Genomic DNA, 21,483 nt, shown 5'->3' with positions numbered 1-21,483 from the left:
ATTAGACCATTCCTGCATTGCTATAAAGAAATACCTAAGACTAGCCAGGCGCGGTGGCTCACGCCTGTAATCCCAGCACTTTGGGAGGCCGAGGAGGGCGGATCACGAGGTCAGGAGATTGAGACCATCCTGGCTAACATAGTGAAACCCCGTCTCTACTAAAAATACAAAAAAAATTAGCCAGGCATGGTGGTGGGCGCCTGTAGTCCCAGCTACTCGAGAGGCTGAGACAGGAGGATTGCGTGAACCTGGGAAACGGAGCTTGCAGTGAGCCGAGATTGCGCCACTGCACTCCAGCCTGGGAGACAGAGCGAGACTCCGTCTCAAAAAAAAAAAAAAAAAAGAAATACCTAAGACTAGGTAATTTATAGAGAAAAGAATTTTAATTGGCTCATGGTTCTGCAGGCTGTACAGGAATCATATTAGCTTCTGCTTCTGGGGAGACTTCAGGAAGCTTCCAGTCATGGTGGAAGGCAAAGGGGGAGCTTTCTTCTCACATGGCTGGAGCAGGAGCAAGAGAGAGAGATGGGGGAGACGCCACACCCTTCTAAACGACCAGATTCCGTGAGAACTCACTCACTGTTGCGGAGAATAGCACAGAGGAGATGGTGCTAAGCCATTCATGAGAAATCCACCCTCATGGTCCAATCACCTCCCACCAGGCCCCACCTACAACACTGGGGATGACAACTGAACATGAGGTTTGGATGGGGACACAGATCCAAACCATATCAGGGCCACAGGGCTAATGGCATTTAGCGGCCAGGAGACAGAGATGTCACATGTCTTCATGGACAAACTGTTCTGCACAACTTTCAAGTGTACTTACAGACATGACACGGGTTAAAAATAATTGCTTATAGGCCAGGTGTGGTGGCTCATGCCTGTAATCCCAGCACTCCAGGAGGCCAAGGCAAGCAGATCATCTGAGGTCAGAAGTTCGAGACCAGCCTGGCCAACATGGTGAAACCTCATCTCTACTAAAAATACAAAAAATTAGCTGGGTGTAAGCAGCAGAAATTAATTTTTCACAACTCTAGAGGCTGGGAAGTCCAAGATCAAGGCACCGGCAAACTCAGTGTCTTGTGGGGTTTAGGGTCAGCTTTCTGGTTCATAGATGGTGTCTTCTTGCTGCATCCTCATGTAGTAGAAGGGGTAAGGCAGCTCCCTGGAGCCTCTTTCATAAGGCACTAATCTCATTCATGACGGCTATTGCCCTTGTGACCTAATCACCTTCCAAAGGCCCCACTGCCTAATACCATTACTTTGGGGATTAGTTTCAACATGTGAATTTGGGGGAGATGCAAGCATTCAGTCCACAGCTGTCTTTCTCCTTGTAGGCACATCTTGGTCACCTTTATATCCCCAGCCCCTCGAATGTGGCCTGGCTCACCAGTGTTTATAGAATGATTTGCTCCCTCAGGAAGACACATAATTTGAAGATGCTCCACCTACATGGCTTTCCTATTCTGTACATTAACAATGTATGACTTCTTTGTTTATCCAGGATGTCGTATATTCCTTCCCTAGAAGTAGCTTCAGCTTGGGAATTATGAGTCAGCTGTGCCTTTATAAAACAACCCAGGAAACCCGGACAGTAGAAGGAGTGATGAGAAACTGCAGGGAGGAGGCAACACTCTTCGTAGCCTACTCAGATTGGTTCCTTAGAGATTTTCTGACATAGGACTGGAAGTTTTGTGTGACTGTGAGCTTTTCCACTTAGGGACTACGCATTGCTGTTTCCTGTAGGACTTTGCTTATTGGAATTTCAGGATTCACTCGGAATACACAGAAAGCAGATTCTTCCTTTTGTGCACACACCACCACGAGAATCCTTCTTGGAGCTCGGCTGGGAGAACCCCCTGGTTTCCAGTGTGGCCCAGCCCTGTGACCGGTGTGTCAAGTGCCCCCGCTCCATAAGGCCGACTTTATACCCTTGGAGGAAGCTGGAATATCTCTAAGAATTAAAATAAAAAAACCTGGAGCGAATGACAGAGGGAAAGGGGCAGATCTGAATATGTCTGCTTCCAAAACAGAGGGCACAAGGAGGAGATGACTTCCTCCTGAGCTCTTTAAATTATATTTTACAGTCAGAAATTCATTTTTAATCCTGACTCAGTGCATAAACACACATATTGTGATGGTCAGTTTTATGTGTCAACATGGCTGGGCTACTGCCCAGCCATTTGGTCAAACACTACGCTGGGTGTAGCTGGGAAGGTATTCTGGAGATGTGATATAAAGTCTATAGTGAGTTGACTTTCAGTAAAGAAGATTATCCTAGATAATATGGGCAGGCCTGGTGGAATCAGTTGAAAGGTCTTAAGAGCAGAATAGAGGCTTCCCTGAAATAGAAGAAATTCTCCCTGGGGATAGCATCAACTTGTGCTGGAAAGTTTCTGCTGCCCTTCCTTCCTGCCCTGTGGACTTTGGACTTGACTGGCCAATCCCAGAATAAGGCAAGCCAATTCCTTGCTGTAAATTTTTTTGGAGATGCACACATACATATTTTTTAAGATAGAAAGAGTTTTAGGCTGGGCATGCTGGCTCACACCTTTAATCCCAGTACTTTGGGAGGCCGACACAGGCGGATCACTTGAGGTCAGGAGTTCAAGACCAGCCTGGCCAACATGGTGAAACCCCATCTATACTAAAAATACAAAAATCAGCCAGGCATGGTAGCACACACCTGTAATCCCAGCTACTTGGGAGGCTGAGGCAGAAGAATCGTTTGAACCCGGGAGGTGGAGGTTGCAGTGAGCCGAGATCATGCCACTGCACTCCAGCCTGGGCAACAGAGAGAGACTCCACCTCAAAAAAAAAAAAAAGTTTTATATATGATTATTTATTCATTTATATTTCCTACTGGTTCTGTTTCCCTGGTGGAACCTTAACTGATACACATACAACTAGCAAAAGATGCTCCAGACAATATTAACCTTTCCTATGTACAACAAACTTCTATATAGTCAATGCGGCACAGTCCTCTAAATCAGTTTTTTTCCCTAGTAAAGGGTTATCAGCTGCAGTTTAAAAAGCATACAGTGATAGTGAAACTTCTCACACACACTCCACTGGGAGGTCTGAGCATGAAACAAGTCTGCATGGACACCCTTCTAAGTGGAATCCTTGCGGGACAGCGCACCCCGACTGTACCTAATGGCCCTGCCCATGTGCTGCTGAGCAAGTGTTTCTAGGCCAGATCCTGGAGGAATTTGGACGACTGCCCTCAGAAGAGGGGGAGAGGAAGGGTGTCAGAGCAGTAACCCCGGGGTCCTCCAAGAGACACAGAGAGGAAGGTGGAGGCATTGATGGGCTCCCCAGGAGGCCAGAGCACTGGAGGACAGGCTGTTCCTTTCCAGGAGCAGAGAACAAGCCAAGAAAACTCTTGGCAGAAACCCAGCTGGAGACAGCATCATGGAGCAATGGGACAAGGTTTTGGCAGTGAGAACAATGTGGTTTTCATCGTTTTGAGACAGTAACTCAAAAGGACCTCACCTGCTGGGTTGATGGACTCAGGGCAAGCAACTTCGGTGGATCGCATGCACCCACAATGGGGGTGACTATCCTAAGAACATTTATGGGAAAAGAAAGCTGATGGCTTTAGTTTACCATGAGCTCAATCTGAACCAATCATGTTTTTTTTTTAAAAAAAAGGAAAAAAAACCTCTCATTAAATACCACGAATAACAAAAACCTATTGTATCACCAGGTTCAATTGCAAATAGCATGAAACACTCTACCTAGTTTACACAGAAAAGGACTTAATACAGTGACCTACGTCCTTGCAAAGCTGATGGAATGGCTGTAGAGTAGGCTCAGAGCTAAGCTTCCAGGAATGACTCCCAAATGACAAGCTGCTGCCTTGGTCCTGATTGAGAAGCCAGGTAATGAGGAGGTCGCTGTCTCACCTGCTGGCACCAGGGCCACCAGACAGCCTGCTCTAACTCCCTCACCTCCCCACTGCTGGGACCTCTGCTGCGGTTGTCACAGGAAAACCCAACACTTCCTCGAGCACACAGAAGCAGTGGAAACAGTGTCACTTAATGCTGTTCACCCTCTCCTTCCACATCTCATGAGACACGTCTTCTTGGGGGAAGCCAGGCCACAGACTAGAGACAAAGATGCAAGGGATTGTGGGAAGTGGAGGCTGCAGTCTCCAGTGGGGAGCACGGCAGGTCTCTCTGCAGGATGTGTCCCACCCCCTCTTCCCACTTGCACACCTAGGAACACAGAGAAAGCAAGCAAACCAGCCAAAACACCCAGACACTCATAGCACTGAAAGTTTGGTACTCACAGCTGACCTGCTAAAATCTTGGAATAAATGTAAGAAACCACTTTATTTTTATCCCTGAACCTTTTCTCTACCCACCTGCTCATCACCAGCATAGAGTTTAATGCCTTTAAAGGAAGACTGCCTAGGTTTGAATCCTGGTCTCGCCATTTATAGCTGTGTGACCTTGAAAAAATTATTAACCTCGCTGTGCCTCGGTTCCTTTTCTGGGGGAAAGAAAAGTGAACTGCATAGAAAAAAAAAGATAATTTCACCGACCTACATAAGTGAGTTAATACATACAAAACTCTTAGCATGGTGCCCAGCATGTAGTAACACTAATTGTTAGCTATCGCTGTGACAAATTCTATGCCCATTCAAGACTGGAACTCACAGTCACTAAAGGGCAGGAATTAATGTCAGACTGGTATGAGAAGGTGGTGGCAACAATATTAGCATTGCCATGCAAAGGACACACATACCTGTATCATGAGACAGCGTAGATTGGTGGTTAGCAGAGGCTGGAAGGGGAGGAGGAAGGAGGCATGAAGGGAGAGAAAGAATATGAATGTATTAGTCACCACTGAACTGTAGGCTTAAAAATGGTAAAGACGGTAAATTTTTAAAAAAAATTATAAAAAAATTATTTGGGATTATGTTGCATTTACAAACCAATCTGGTACAAATCATATCTTTATATGAGTCATCCTCATTTTTTAAAAAAGTTGGGTTTATGGGGAAAACTTATGAGCAGAGAAGTGGGAGAGCACATGGAATCCTGTGAACTGTCATTGTCCCCAGCTCAGGCCAGCTGTGGCTGGACTGAAGGCCCCACGGCCAAAGCTTCAGGCAAGAAGAAAACGTCCCCGTTAAGCTGCACATTTTATGAGGCCATGGGGCAGCTACAGACACATGATTATGTAACAAATGAAGCTCTTGACCAGGATAGAAGAGGCAGCCCTAAAATTTAAAGGTTGGCACCAGCCGGTTCTGCCAATGATCTAACTCGGACCTGCTGAGCCAGCCCATGACTCTGCTGCCGAAAGGGAGAAGGAAGTAAGCTGTCTGCCTCTCAGCCCGTTCCCTGGCTCGTGGGGGATATTAACTACAAGTTCCTCCATAGGCTCCTGCTGACACCAGGATTAATGGTTTCCAAAGCATTCCATCACATCCGGGAGGGAGGTGCCGATAGGGCCCCCTCACTTATGTCGGATGGAAGGTGGACATGTCTAACATCATGAGCAGTTTGGGCAGAGCATATTCATAAGTGGAAAAAGAAGAGTTATTCATACATCCCCTCTGCCCTTTAACCTCTTCCCCCGGGACAGACATGTCCACATCTTTCCAGCTGAGGTCTCTCTCCCCCCTGTGGGGCTGAGCCAGATAGTCTCTCCTTTCTCCAGGGTGAGGACTTCCACAAGGATCCAGGTGCCAGCATTTGTCATGGTAAGTGATGTTGGGGGCAGAAGAGGGGGCTAGAAAACAACTCAAAGCAAAGTCAGGATCCAAGTTCATGTCTATTCAGAAATCCTCAATCTGAGCACTATGAACCAGCACATGACATAACATGAATTTCCATCAATCCAGAGAACAAAGTGTGTACAAAAAGGAGAGAGAGAGAGAGAAGGAAATGGTTTTATTTATTTATTTATTGAGATGGAGTCTTGCTTTGTTGCCCAGGCTGGAGTGTAGTGCCGTGATCTCGGCTCACTGCAACCCCCGCCTCCCGGGTTCCAGCGATTCTCCTGCGTCAGCCTCCTAAGCAGCTGGTATTACAGGGGCCTGCCACCATGCCTGACTAATTTTTGTAGAGATGGGGTTTTGCCATGTTGGCCAGGCTGTTCTCGAACTCCTGACCTCAAGTGATCCACCCACCTTGGCCTCCCAAAGTGCTAGGATTATAGGCGTGAGCCACCGCGCCCAACAAAATGATTCCTCTTTCAATATGTCCAGCTCAAAAGAAAGGAGAGGAGTAGACTGCTGCTCCTCATGTTCTCTTTGTTCCCCATCTCTGCCTCCTGGGTGCCAAGGAGCTCAGACAGACAGACAGACAGACAGGCAGACAGGGCGAGGCTATGCAGAACTCATAAATAGCTGAAGCCAGTCTGACCAGCAAGCCCTGTATAAGTTGTCACTGGAGACACAAATTACTAAGTTTGTCTCAAAGAGAAGCACAAAGGCTAGGCACAGTGGCTCACACCTGTAATCCCAGCACTTTGGGAGGCCGAGGCGGTCAGATCACCTGAGGTCAGGAGTTGGAGACCAGCCTGGCCGATAGGGCGAAACCCCATCTCTACTAAAAATACAAAAATTAGCCAGGTGTGGTGGCGCACCTGTAACCCCAGCTACTTGGGAGGCTGAGGCAGGAGAATTGCTTGAACCCGGGAGGCAAGGGTTGCAGCGAGCTGAGATCGCGCCACTGCACTCCAGCCTGGGCAACAGAGTGAGACTCTGTCTCAAAAAAAAAAAAAAAAAAAAGGAGAGAAGCACAAAAATTTGTGTTGACTAACAGGAATGAAAGAAAGCAAACCAGGTTTAAAGAACTGCCTCCCCTGAAAAAGGCTTTTGAGTCAGATTGTTGCCACAGCACATTCTTTCAAATGTTCATGGAACAGATTATTCTCATATTATAAAAACTGTTCCAAAGTGTGGAAAAAGATGGAATACAATCCAGTCTATTTTATCAATCTAGCGCAGTACTAATAACAAAACATTAAAAAGGACATAGCAAAAAAAAGAATAAATCCATCTCAATAACAGGCTACAAAGATCCTAATTAAATTCTAATTAAGTCCTAGCACTCTGAATTTGATGGCTCCCCAAAAGACACTGACAGCTTTAATGAGACACAGTGGGCTGCATGGGCTCCTGCCATTTGCCACAGCGAGAATGCATGTGTTTCCTCTGGGCGCAACGACACCTGTGAGGGTGGCTGGGATCTTTCCCTAGGTGGCAGCCCACTGGGCAGGGAAACCCCAGCAGCAGGAGGACAGATCTGAGGCTATAGGAGAGTTGTCAAGAGAGTCAAAAAATCACTTGGCTCTTGTAAATAATGCTGCAATCAACGTGGGAGTGTAGATATCTATGATTTGATACTGATTTCAATTCCTTTGGATATATACCCAGAAGTGGGGTTGCTGGATCCTATGGTAGTTCTGGTTTTTTGAGGAACCTCCATACTCTTTTCCATAGTGGCTTTACTAATTTACATTCCCACCAACAGTGGGCAAGGGTTCCCGTTTCTCCACATCCTCAACAACACTTATCTTTTGTCTTTAGATAAAAGAATCAACCTAAGTGTCCATCAGAGGACTGGATTTTTAAAATGTGGTATATATTCACAATGGAATACTATTCAGCCATTAAAAAGAAGAACGTTTTGTCATTTGCAACAACATGGATGAAACTGGAGGATATTATGCAAAGTAAAATAAGCCAGGCAAAGAAGGACAAATACTGCATGATGTCACTGATATGTGGAATGTGAAAAAGTTGAACTCATAGAAGTAGAGAGTATAATGCTTACCAGGGGCTGGAGGGGCAGGGTGGGAACGGGGAGATGTTGGTCAAAGAGTACAAAGTTTCCGTTAGACAGAAGGGGCTTTAGAGATGGATTGCACAGCAGGGTGACTATAGTTAATGATATGGTTTGGCTGTGTCCCCACCCAAATCTCGTCTTGAATTGTAGCTCCCACAATTCCCATATGTTGTGGGAGGGAGCTGGTGGGAGGTCATTGAATCATGGGGGCAGGTCTTTCCTGTGAGTCTCATGAGATCTGATGGTTTTATAAAGGAGAGTTTCCCTGCACGAGCCCTCTTCTCTTGTCTTCCACCATGTGAGACGTGCCTTTCACCTTCCGCCATAATTGTGAGGCCTCCCCAGTCACGTGGAACTATGAGTCCCTTAAACCTCTTTCTTTTGTAAATTGCCCAGTCTCAAGTATGTCTTTATCAGCAGCATGAAAACAGACTAATACAGTTAATCATGTGTTGTAAATTTCAAAATTGCCCAAATAGTAGATTTTAAATGTTCTTACCACATTGATGTGATGGATATGTTCATTAGTATGATTTAATTATTCCACAATGTATACAGGTACCAAAACATCACTTATAACCCACAAATACGTATAATTATTATTAAAAATAATTTTTTACATAAAGGTCCTGCAGAACTAGAACTTTATCTAGAATATTGGGGAATGGCACCTGGGGAGCTCTGCAGCTCTCCTCAACTAACCCATTTAGCCCTATGTGCCTCACGAGATCCCCAACCTTCGCAGGCCTGGCACACAGGGGGCTCCGACACCCAGGGAGAAAAGAAGGTGACAGCATCGAGGGAACACAGGAAAGTCCTCACTCTTCCCTCCCTGCTGTGGCCCCAACATGCTGGAGGGGCTGCCTTCCAGGGAGGGGTTGGCCAGCGGGCCTGTCTTCCAGGCCAGAGGTCCCAGATCCAGTCTCTGCAGAGGAGGGCGAGGAGGTGCGGTTTAAATTGAGTTTGAGACTGAAGCATTGCACTGGGCTGAATTTGAATAACTCAGGGGACCTGGAGTGCTACAGGACTGGGATGCCGTTGCAGGTTCAGCAACCTGGCGGACAGCACTGCCCAATGAACTGGGTGTATTTTTCTTCTTTGAATTTTATTACCCAATTTTCTCCAAGCATATATTACTTTTATAAATACAGGCAGGCACGGTGGCTCATGCCTGTAATCTCAACATTTTGGGAGGCCAAGACGGGTGGATCACCTGAGGTCTGGAGTTCCAGACCTGCCTGGCCAACATGGCGAAACTCTGTCTCTACTAAAAATACAAAAAAAAAAAAAAAAAAAAAAATTAGCTGGGCGTGGTGGCAGGCACCTGTAATCCCAGCTACTTGGGAGGCTGTGGTGGGAGAATTGCTTGAACCTGGGAGGCGGAGGTTGCAGTGAGCGGAGATCATGCCATTGCACTGCAGCCTGGGCGACAGAGCGAGACTCCATCTGAAAAAAATAAAAATAAATAAATAGGAAGAAAAGATTGTATCTGAGACTGTGGGCTCTGTGGAAAGGAAAAGTTTTCCATTTAAAGAATGTATGAAGAAGGCTGTGCTATTTGACCTAAGGAAGAAGAAAGGGAATTTATCACATATTTAAAAGGGTATCCTTTATAACCATCAACTCCACAAAAACATAAACTCTAAATAATAATCCTTGTGACAAAGGATAGGCTTGTTACATGATCTTGAAAATGCCAGGATAAGGGTCTGAGGGCCACTGATTTGTAACCTCAGGGAGACAGATTTCTGTTCCATGTGAGGACAGTTTTCCTTCATCGCAGGATGAGACAGCATCAGCTGTCTGCCCATGTGCCACACTGGCTGCGTTACCAGATTCTGGGGAGCAGCCTTAGTGGCCCATACAGCTCCAATGTTCTAGAATTCCTTGCTTGCCAGGGCTAGCCTAGAGCTTGCTATTTAATGCTGAGTCCAGCCAAGAAGCGGTGGCCAGTAGCTGGTATCATCCGTAAATACTGTGAATCTAAGGTTGTCTCACCCTCAAATACCTGAGGCTGTACACTCGGCATGGCTCACTGTGGATATGCTGTCCTAAAAAGCTTACTCGAGGTGGTAGGGGCAGGCGGAGGATGGGTGCAAGGCAGTGGAACCCAGGCTTGGGAAAGCAAACTTCCCCTTCTCCCCAGGGAGAGGCGGCGGAGCCAGCTAGTGTGCCCATGGCTGGAGACAATCCCAAACCCAGTGGTACTGGGAACACTGCCCTCTGAAGTCAATTAAGGACATAGTGCCTCTTGGAGTAGCCCCTGGGCAGAGCCGGATGCCCAGGGATCCTTCCTTCATCAGCAGTGAGGAAACAAGCGCCCTAAGCCAACGCTCAAAGCCCTCAACAATCAGCTCTTGGCAAAGCCTGGCCATCTTCCAACAAAAAGACAAGGGACCTGGTGGCAATGAGTATGACCTCACTCCCAAGCACCATCTCCCCAGGCTTCCAGCTTTCCAACTTCTCCAAGTAAGTCTTTCACCAGAGGCCACTTTTGCCCAGGTGACACTTGATTACAAAGGTCACACACAGGGAGAGAGGGCGCAACTTTCTCTGCCTCTGTTCTTTACAATAAGGTGGGGAGATCATTTCAGGAAGCCAGGAAGTTAGGCTTCACATTTGCCGTGAAAGTGATGAGTTTGGTTAGCCTGATGTTGCCAGAATGTGCTATTCATTCTATGCGTTTTCGGCTGCACAGACTTCACTAAAGTAATAAAAGTATTAGGTAGAGTATCAGGAGAAATTGAGTCACCACATTCTCTGAGTTAGAGAGTTACAGAGAGATTACCCCTTAAGGCAGCAGTTAGGATGATATGCTGACTCCTTGACAGGCATGAGAAACCCCGCCCACCCCAGCTGCTGCCCCAGCCTCCCCATCATTCCTCCAGCCACCTGCAACCCCAGTCCTCCAATAACCCTGTGTCTTTGCTTGGGCCCAGAGGCCCGTCTCCCTTCCTGTTCTTTGAATCATCCTTCTAGAATCCCCTAGTTTTCCCGAACTCTTCCCTGCCCACCCAAGTCACGTCTTGCTGCTCGCTGTGTCCTCTCGTGATGGCCTGGGCATGCCTCCCTCACAGCACGCCGGACACTCCATCACCACTGCCCACCTGCCACTAGGCTGTGTGCATCTTGGGGGTGGGACTTCTGTCTTCTCAACTCTGAGTCTCCAGCACTGTGCCCAGCACAAGCAGGTGCTCAGCCAGTGCTGGCTGAATGACTGAAGAAAGGAACCACAGCATCCTAGAGGTGTTCCCTTTTTAAAATGCATGCAACGGACAGTATTGTGAAGCCAAAGTGACTGCGTTTGGGCACTGCTTAAAACCTCGATCTCTCTCTCCTTTCTGTCATTCACTAAAGCCCCATACATCAATCAAGGTGGACATGATTGTTGTGCACTTTGGTTAATTGTAAAACCGATCAGTTCCAATAAATAGCTGGCATTTTACTTAAAGTCCACTGGTTTTAAAAGTGTGTGTGATGTGGTTTCCTGATGGGCAAAGAACTTCGGGGAAATATTTATTGTGCTCATGGATGACATTCTAGCTATTGTCCATGTTCCTTTTTATGGAGCTGTAAAGATGCCTTTTTACGGTCAGGCCGGCTGACATCTTCATCCACTCCTCTAATGCACACATTCACTGGAGGATCTTTGTACCAATGAGGAACATTCAGCCACGTTCAACAAAGGTTTATTGAGTGCTTGCTCTGAGCAGGGCACTGAGTAATGGGATCTGTCTCCAAAGCTTTCAAATCTGCTAAAAATATTCTCCATTTCACAAGCAGTTGGGACAAAAAAAAAATATTTTGCTCGAGTCTCTCCTCTGGGGCCCACTGAGTAAAAATGCACCTAGAGTTGCCCAGGGAAATAAAACCTCCCTTCACGGACCTTCCAGATCTCCTGAAAGGTTTCGTCTCCAGCTGGCTGGAGAGAGCTTGCTCATTAAATTCAGCACACAAGCTCTGTCTCTAAGCAGCTGAGTTTCAGGACTTGCTGCAATCCATCAACCCTAGGAACTTGCCCAAGACCAGTTCCAGAGATGGGAAGAAGCACACATGACCATGGCTCCTCATCCTTCCCTCTTCAAAATCCTGAGGAGCCTTCAACATAGAGGGAACAACACCGGCTTCTTCATCTCCAAGTGGGAATAACACTGCCTTACCTCCCAGAAACGTGATGAAAGTTAAAGGTAATCTATTTCAGCGTCTAGCATAGTGCCAAGTATCTAGTAGACGTCCAAAAACAGGCTCATCTATTTGCATTTCTTTTTTTTTTTTTTTTTTTTGAGAAGGAGTCTTGCTCTGTCGCCCAGGCTGGTGTGCAGTGGCGCGATCTTGGCTAGCTGCAAGCTCCACCTCCCGGGTTCACACCATTCTCCTGCCTCAGCCTCCCGAGTAGCTGGGACTACAGGTGCCCACCACCACGCCTGGCTAATTTTGTTTTTGTATATTTAATAGAGACGGGGTTTCACTGTGTTAGCCAGGGTGGTCTCTTACCTTTTGACCTCGTGATCCGCCTGCCTTGGCCTCCCAAAGTGCTGAGATTACAGGTGTGAGCCACCACGCCCGGCCATCTATTTGCATTTCTTCTGGCCAAACAGGACACCCTGGCTACTGTGCAGATGTGGCAGAAGAGATAGACAAGAGGGGACAGGGAGGCAAGGAGCACATGAGAAGGAGACACCACTGGCCTCAGTGACAGGCCAGGCATGGCGGGGAGGGAAAAGCAAGAGTCAATGATGGTGCCAAGGCTTCTAGCCCAGTGACCACATGGTGGTGACATCATGGACTATGGCCTGGGGAAAGACAGACGCGCTTTGAGAGCTCTTTGCTGTGGTTTTTATCCTACTCCACCCCTTCTTCACTCATCAAACTCTGCTCCCCGTACAGCCCCAGTGCTTCCTCCTCCAGGCAGCCTTCCTTGGGATCAGAGGGAGAAGCAATCCCTTTCTCCTTTCATGTTTTGTCACATCATTCATAATCATGGACTCCCTTCCCTCTCCATTAGGTAGGAGTGATTCCCCAGGTGCCTGGGACGAGCAGACAGAAGACAGATGGGGCTGAAAAGTCGTGAACGAACAAATCCCACCCATCAACACCCCAGCAGGAAACAATCCAATACAGGTGGTTCAAATGGAGAGAGTTTCAGAGGTGCGGGCAGGATGGAAGGATCAGAGGTAGGCCCAGAGACGCACACCTGACCCCGTGGACTTGCTAGTGTGCCGATGGTCCTGGCTGCCAAGGGATGGCTGGGATGTACTACGCACACAAGGTGGACGGGGCCACCACTAGCAAACGCTGAGTAGGGCACTGTAGAGATTAGAGGAGGGGGCGAGTGTGAGAGGCTCAGAGGTGGAATGAACACACCTAAAAGCGTCACTCGAATGTGGGAGTGGGGACAGCTATGATGGCACCAATGACCAAGGCAGCAAGCACAGAGGAGGATGGCATCTGGAGCGAGAGCTGAGTGAGGGGCCTGCGTTTCCTCCAGGTGATGCAACCAGGAGGTAGATGGCTTCTATGCCAGAGGCCCGGGCTGGGAGACAATCCTGGAGGCAGCAGGGGATGGGTGGCAGGGGATCTTCCAGGGAAAGCCCAGACAGGAATGAGCAGTGAAAAATGAGGCGAATCCCTGAGCACACCTTTAAAAGAAGGCAAGGCGTGCCACAGGGCATTGAGCAGAACAACTGGAGAGAGGGAGCACGAAAAAGCCAAAGGAGGAAGAGATCAGTAGCATGAAATGTTCCTGAAAGAACAAGTGGCATGAGGAGGATGGGAGCAGAAGGGACATCCCACGCAGGCCTCAGGAGGCTATTGGCTCCATTGCAGGATATATAGGCAGACACCCGACTCTGGTGAGTGACAGTGAGACTGGCCGTAACTGCAGCGCTGGGATAGGCACGATTGGGAACCTAGACATGCATCCATGAGGGATGTGTTAGTAAGTTCCACTGTGGAGGAATCTTAAATCAACGGAACAATGTGTAGACATTAACTATAATGAAGTAGGTCTATATATGCTGGTTGGAAAGAACTCATTACATGAAAAGACAAATTGCAGGACAAATGGATATAATATATGGATATGATCCAAATATGTCTAATGTAGAGAGATAAATACAAGAGGTGCACCAAAATTCATTGAGCCATATGCTGAATGGCCAAGAGTTAAAAAAAAAAATCAATATTAAACTGCAAAAAAGATCCAAACCAAATACTGCCATGGAGAAGGAACTTCTGGGATCCAAAAATAAATCTCAAAGCCACTAAAAATTAATTATAATTACTTTTTCATTATTAAAAATGTAATAGGCCAGGCGCGGTGGCTCACGCCTGTAATCCCAGCACTTTGGGAGGCCAAGGTGGGTGGATCACGAGGTCAGGAGATCAAGACCATCCTGGCTAACACGGTGAAACCCCATCTCTACTAAAAATACAAAAAAATTAGCCGGGAGTGGTGGCGGGAGCCTGTGGTCCCAGCTACTTGGGAGGCTGAGGCAGGAGAATGACATGAACCCGGGAGGCGGAGCTTGCAGTGAGCCGAGATCGTGCCACTGCACTCCAGCCTGGGCGACAGAGCGAGACTCCGTCTCAAAAAAAAAAAAAAAATTAGTAACTAAATTGTAAAAGTCTGACCTTATACATTATAGGTAAAGAATTATTAATATACACACACTAAAGCTAGTAGGAAGGCAGGTTCGTTTTTGTCTAATTTTACCAGGATGGGGTGCTGCCAATGGTGAAACTGACATGGAGTGATTTAGTCTCCTTCTGTCTTTAATAGTAACTGTCCGCAGAAAAGATGTAACTCCTCCTCTGTGGCTGTGGTAGGCTGGGTTACAGTGCCTTCTTCCCATCCCCTCCCTTTGCCTTATGACTCTGCAGACCCCCTCTCTAGATTGCCCTCTTCCTCACCCCAGTTGACTGAGCTGGACCATGTGAGCTACATTAGCCAATTGCCTGTTAGCAGACATAACATGATCAGAAATTTAAATGTACTGGAGTGATTTGGCTTGGCCTAGAGGCGTCTGCCACTTGCCATGAAAAGAACTTGCGCTGCATACCCACTGGTCCCAGAACGATGGAGACATATAGAGCATACCTGAACCCGACCTGAAGGCTGGGGTTCGCAGCGCCCTGCAAAGTCGGGGTGAGCCTGGCTGAAATCAGCTGAATCAAAGCTGTCTTGCAGACCTGTGAACAAAAACAGGAAGTGAGGGTTGTTGTAAACCACTAAGACGCTGGTATGGTTCACTTTACAGCATTGTTGTAGCAATTGTTGACTAATAATACGCCAATATACAAAACACTTCCAGGAAAATTAGAATTATGATATAAATTATTTTCTACTATTTTGCCTTTTATTATTTAAACTTTTACAAATGTTCGTAGTTGCAAAAATAATACGTTCTTTGTAAAGTTACTCTAGACGATCTAAATATTTGAATTGACTGTTGATCTGTTTTCCTACTTATTTAACTATTTGAACATTCTTAATGACAGTTTTGTACATAAGAAGAGTGGCATCCACAATCATTAACTGTTGCAACAATTTGTCTCACAACAAATAAATACACATTTATGCTTCAGTTGATTAACAATTCGATGTGTGAAACACATAAGAGATTTTTACTCCAAATGACATACAAATACCTCCTACACTTAAAGTGACTATTTTTGCATTAGCTCCAAATCTCAATGACATGTCATGTTCACAATGTGGGCGTTATCATCCTGATTAGATAAGAGGATGATTTCCACAAACACACAATCATTGATCAACGGCAAGCTCAAGAATGCCAGAACTTACATCAACGTAGGCATAAAAGTAAGCCTGGGGCAGATTCCAATTCCACTTCTTGGCTTCAAAACCTTCAGCAGCTCCCCACCAAGAAATAAAGGTCAACCTTGCAAGCAATTCATTCACTGGCCTCAGTCTCTTCCCTTCACAGCTCTTTAGGTCCCAGACACAAGGAAATCACCCTCTCTTATTAGAGTGTACCTCGTGTCTCAGTAACTTTGCTCTGCTGTTCCCTAAAGTCTAGGAGGCCCTTCCCTTCGCCCATTCCTTTGAGCCCCAATTCTTTGCAAATGCTCAAGTTGTAAGAGAAGTTCTCCTGGGGACTCACAGGACGACCTTTACTTCTCTATCGTTATCTTTATCTCACTACATGGCAACTGTTTGTTAACACATCAATCTCCCCATCTGAGTTGTGAAGGGCCTGGACTTTGGGGCCAGGACTGCGTCATCTTTACAGGCCCAAGACCTAGCACAGTGCCTCGTGGTAGATACATCTTAAGTGGAAGGGTAGCGGGGTTGATGCATAGACGTATAAATGGATGGATCTTTTCTCATAGACACTTCCAATCTTTTTAGAATAAGTACAAATAAAGAAAAGATAGCAAGACGACAATGATAACAGTCAACCAGCAATTGGACAAGTGTCCTCTGTGCGACGAGGATGGGGGGGAGGCAATTCCCAACCTCCCCCATCTTTTTGGCATGAATTCACAGTTTTTTCAGATTCCCTGCAACTGGCAGAGGTCACCTATGGGAGTCTGCTTGCCAATATTTGTCCCTGTAGCACAGGGGATGCCAACCCATGCATGCAGCCCACTCATCAGTCCTCCCCGCCTCTAGGAATGTTCCTGACATCCCTGCCGGCCCTGCCTGTCTCCTGACCCTCCTCTTTCTCAGAAGGTCACCTATGCTGGCCTGAGCTCATTATGACAACAGTAATAGGTGCCATCATTCACCTTTGGAAGTGAATCATGCTGCCTACTTGGGCAGGCCCAGGTCTGGCTTAAGAGATGTGGAGTTCCACCACCCTTGTCCAGTGGATTTTTTTTGAGGCTTTTAGGACAACTAAGTCCTTTCGTCAAATGGAAACCTATTGTGCAAAATAGATACAAGATGTGGCTGTGGCTGAAGCTGAGTGGAGTCGCCCAGATCCCCCGGCTCCATGGCCACCCGACCCTGAGACATCTCCGCCAGGCGTCATGGCTCTGTGGCACATGGTCTACAATCCACTGCCCTCAGCTCTGGCACTGGGCTTGGGCCTTGACACCCCCACCCCGCCATCCTCTGCAAATGTGCAAGTACCCTTCCTGCTGTCCCAGACCCCCTATAAAACTAGTGTCCTACACTGAACTCCAGTAACTTCACTGAGTCCCTGAGGCCCCACGTGCTTCTAGCAGACCTCTCTCTCTTCATGACACAAGGATTCTATTGTGGACACAGAGATCTCCCAGAATTACAAGGCAGTTCGAAGCCACCTGCTGCCAAGCCCTTCCCCACCTTATTGCAAGATTCTCCTTATTTTACTTTTACAGCTTTGACTCATTCAAAACCCTGACATTCCTTGAGAGAACACCCCCTCTCGGTCTCATTCCCATTCCTTGTCATTTGGTTGGGGCTGACTCCATCTCTCCCCATCTCAGTAGGTAGACACCCATCTGGAACCAGACCCACCACAGCATTCATCCCTGTGGACACCATGATTGGATCACTGATGGACAAATGGTCCAACCCACACAAATGAGATTCAATCCTGGGATCTTTGCCAGAACTTTCTTTCAATTAATGTTACTAAGCTACATAAAACAAGCCTCCACTGCTGGTAGCCACTGGACCACTGTGTGGGGAAAGCCTGTCCAAACATAGGGCCACACAGAGGAGAGAGGAAAGAGATAGAGATATGTTCTGGTGCATTTGAGCATCCGTATCCAATCATGGCTGATGCTGGCCCACCCCTGCGCCTCTCAGTAATATGAGACAACATTACTTTGCTTGAACCAGTTTGAGGTGGGGTCAAATATAATCCTCTAGCAGCTGAACTGTCCCTGACCCTGCTTTGCCCCTTAGAATATATGTTGGACAACTGCCCATTCTTACCCAGGCAGCTTGATGTCCCCAGCATCCTTCCTGCTGTCCCAGATCCCCTCTAAAACCAGTGTCCTACACTGCACGCCAATAACTTAGCTAGGTCCTACAGGCCCCACATGCTTCCTGCGGTCCACTCTCTTCAAGACACTAGGGCCCTGTTGTGAATGGGGGAATCACCCAGAATTACAATGCAACACGAAGCCACCTGGACCTAGGCCTGTTGCAACATCCAGCATCTCCTCTGCCCTTTAATTCTCCATGGGCTATTGTCACAGGTAGATGAGGCCTTCCTCTCTCCAGGCTTCTCTTGCAATCAACAATGCCACCTCTTCTAGCTGTTACTTCAGTATAATTTGCCTTTGATGACTTAAAGAAAACTGAAACAATCCATTCAATAGCAAATACCAGTCTCCTTTCAACATGTTTCTTTTCAGTGCCTAACGCACGGGCCTGCCTGTAAGCTACACCTATCACTACAGAGTAAAAGCATCAGAGTCTGAGCTGATGGGGGCATTTAAACTGGTAAGAAAAGTGATTGATTGTTGACAAGCTGCTGGCTCCTTGGTTTAGGATATTGATAGTTCATCAATGCCTCTTTCTGTGTATTTGACAACTTGTCCTGCTCCAGACAGAACAAGTACAGTTCCAGCCATGGGAAGGAAAGAGCTTGACTATTTGGTGCATGGAGCAGATTTTCACATAAATACACTTTTCCCTCCTAATATATTTCTTTCTTTCAAATAATCTGGGTCCCAATAGCCCAGCATGTAGTCACCATGATCTCCTAGCTTAGGTATCCATTCACCTCACAAATACCAACTCTAATATCAAAGACAGAGTTTGAATTTCCTTCCCTCTGCCAAAAAAAAACGGTGGCCCTGCTTACAAGATGCTCAAGATCTTCACACAAATCCAAGGGTTGGCTCTCAAAGTGAAACAGAGTTTCTCACCTGGTTTCAAAGGATTTAGCTCTCAATGTCAGCAGGGCACTGGATGGGAGAAATTCTACATGCAAACTCTGTTGACTAGATTAGGCCTGGTGTCCATTTGTCCGTAATCTCCATAGGCAATCTCATTCACTTTGGAATTCATTTCTACCCTAATGCTATTTCCCAGGTGTGGATATATGTCTGATGTGACAACGTCTTTGAGACCCAACCTGGAGCTGGGAGCTCCCTTCCTTTAGGACATTCTCAGGCGGCCTGCAGACACCTCAATCTAAATGTGTCCCCAACTGAACTCAGTATCTTCCTGGAAAATCTGATCATCCAACTTTTTTTTTTTTTTTTTTTTGAGACAGAGTTTCACTCTTGTTGCCCAGGCTGGAGTGTAATGGCGCAATCTCGGCTCACTGCAAGCTCCGCCTCCCGGGTTCAAGAGATTCTCCTGCCTCAGCCTCCCAAGTAGCTGGGATTACAGGCGCCTGCCACCACACCCGGCTAACTTTTTGTATTTTTAGTAGAGACGGGGTTTCACCATGTTGGCCAGGCTGGTCTTGAACTCCTGACCTCAGGTGATCTGCCCAACTCAGCCTCCCAAAGTGCCGGGATTACAGGCGTGAGCCACCGCACCCAGCCCTCTCTCAGTCTATTGAACCACCCATGTGCTCATGCCTCATTCATGAAAATTATTCCCATCTCTTCCTAGAGCCGACTGCCCCCAAGGCCTGTTGACACTACTTGCTTGGCTTCTCCTTGCCTGCCTTTCACCTTCATCAGTGCAGCAGCTTTGGCAGGGCTGGAATGACAGCCTACTAGCTGATCTCCCATTTCCCTCCAATTCACTTTGTCACTAGAGCCAGCGTGACCTTCTCTAAAACACAAATCCAACCCTGAGCTGCCCAGAGATGACTTTCTAGGGTAAACTCTGCTTCCGAATCCTGTGCTGCTGCCTGCAGTTACCAAGACATTTCTGCTGCCTCCTGGCGCTCCTTCAGGCTGTCTGCTCCCCAGAAGGGCCACCCTCCCTGACACCTTTCCCTTCCCTCAGTGTTGACCGTTGCATCATTGTATTCTACGTCCCCTGTAACTTGACCATTCCTCTAACATTGCACTCAGCATATGCCTGACAGTTTCTCAGCTCTGGTTCACTTAAAAACGTGCACGCCATGATTTCCCCCCAGCTGAATCCCCAGCATCTAATCAGCATTCAGAAAATCCCTGCAGACTAAAGATCAGGAGAGTTTCTGCCCCATCAATAACGTTTCCCTTATTCCTGGGATGACCCCCAAATTGACCTCAGAATGCAGCTGGTCTTGGGTCATAGACCCCTGTGGACAAGAACCCATGTGGCAGTTCAGATTTCTGGGCTAAAGGAAGATGCCTCAAAAGTTTGCAGCAGGGAACTCACCCTTTAAGGGGGAAGAGAAGATGGTGCAAGCTCCCTCCCTACCCACGGCAACTAAGAGTGCCCCCAGAAAACTCCCTCTGGCCCCATGCATTTTCACTAGTCGCCTAGGAGTCCCGCTTGGTATTTATGAGTGTAAGGACTGCTGCTATCACAGGCCATTTAACCTTCAAAGACACCATACTGCTTTTGAGAAGAGTGGCCTTTTACTTTCTATTTCATTAGCCAGGAGCATTTTATGGTTTAATGCTTGATCTTCTTCTCAGATGCAGAAATGTTAGTGGCTCCTCACTGTGAAGGCCTTTTTCATTCCCTGAGGGTCATCTCACCTGGAAGTAATCTACAGGACACTGGGTTCAAGATCCTCAGCTTGACCTCTGGTAAAACCAGCAGGAGGTGGCCCTCCAGCCCCAGAGGCCCCAGCTCAGAAGACAACTCAGCTTCCAGCTGAAAATGAGACAGGGAGTAAGGGGAAGAATGAATCCTTCTCAATAAATTCCAAACTACCATGTGACATTTTATCCTGAGGTATCATAACACGCATACCTTGTGTTATGGTATTTATATTTTCAAATGAGTGCATTCATCACAAACATCACTGCACAGCTATCAGCCTCAACTCACAGCCCTGGAATCCCATGGCCAGCAGCAGGTCCAGAGTCAGGTGGTCAGACAAAGCTGCAGGGAGACCAAGGCAGGAATAGAGCCAGACACTCCAACAACCAGTCCTTCCTGCTTTGTGCCAACTCCTACTGTGTGCCAGGCACTGCAGGTTCAGTGGCAGACAAGACAGAATAGTCCCTGCCCAAAGAGTGCTTATCTACACAGTGCGAGAAAGTCTGTGAAGTGTGTTGAAGCCAAGAGGAGCCTGGTTTTCACGCTAGGGGCAAGCAGAAGTCATCGAGGGCTTTTGGCTAGAAACTGAGTTATTGGCCAGGTGCAGTGGCTCACCCCTGTAATCCCACCACTTTGGGAGGCCAAGGTGGGTGGATCATAATGTCAGGAGTTCGAGACCAGCCTGACCAACACGGTGAAACCCTATCTCTACTAAAAATGCAAAAATTAGCCAGGCGTGGTGGCACGCACCTGTAATCCCAGCTACTCAGGAGGCTGAGGCAGGAGAATTGCTTGAACCCAGGAGGCGGAGGTTGCAGTGAGCCGAGATCATGCCACTGCACTCCAGCCTGGGCGACAGAACGACACTCCGTCTCAAATAAAAATAAAAATAAAAAATAAAAAATAAAAGAAATTGAGTTCTCTGGTTTGCATTTTGAATGGGCCATCTGGCAGTTAAAAATGGATTGTTGGAGAGTGACAGGAGATGCAGCAGATCAATCAAGGGTTAATGCAGTGGGTAGACCCAGCACTAAGAGAGAGTGTTGAGGAATGGATGTCAGGTGTGCCTGGAGTCACCAGTGCATACAATGTGGGGGATGTGAGGAA

At 47.2% G+C, this 21,483-nt stretch overlaps 1 long non-coding RNA gene across 2 annotated transcripts in view, besides 2 other annotated features; it reads right to left on the bottom strand.

Annotated features, from left to right (window-relative positions):
* Positions 1–21,483, bottom strand: part of LOC101927025 (uncharacterized) — an 83,190-nt gene that overhangs the window by 15,944 nt on the left and 45,763 nt on the right. For both annotated transcript variants that reach the window (XR_007064769.1, XR_243235.4), the window contains one exon: positions 14,911–15,002. This is a non-coding gene — a long non-coding RNA (uncharacterized LOC101927025). The remainder of the gene's footprint in view (positions 1–14,910; positions 15,003–21,483) is intronic.
* Positions 19,656–20,193: an enhancer, noted in NCBI's record as "OCT4-NANOG hESC enhancer chr15:93679496-93680033 (GRCh37/hg19 assembly coordinates)". NCBI's record gives its function as "activates a minimal SCP1, AML or CMV promoter by ChIP-STARR-seq in naive H9 embryonic stem cells {active_cell/tissue: H9 hESC(naive)}" and the evidence as "EXISTENCE:reporter gene assay evidence [ECO:0000049][PMID:30033119]".
* Positions 20,194–20,732: an enhancer, noted in NCBI's record as "OCT4-NANOG hESC enhancer chr15:93678957-93679495 (GRCh37/hg19 assembly coordinates)". NCBI's record gives its function as "activates a minimal SCP1, AML or CMV promoter by ChIP-STARR-seq in naive H9 embryonic stem cells {active_cell/tissue: H9 hESC(naive)}" and the evidence as "EXISTENCE:reporter gene assay evidence [ECO:0000049][PMID:30033119]".

The sequence above is a fragment of the Homo sapiens genome, chromosome 15, assembly GCF_000001405.40.
Source record: "Homo sapiens chromosome 15, GRCh38.p14 Primary Assembly".
Classification (NCBI taxonomy): Eukaryota; Metazoa; Chordata; class Mammalia; order Primates; family Hominidae; genus Homo; species Homo sapiens.
This window is presented reverse-complemented; position numbering and strand designations above follow the sequence as displayed.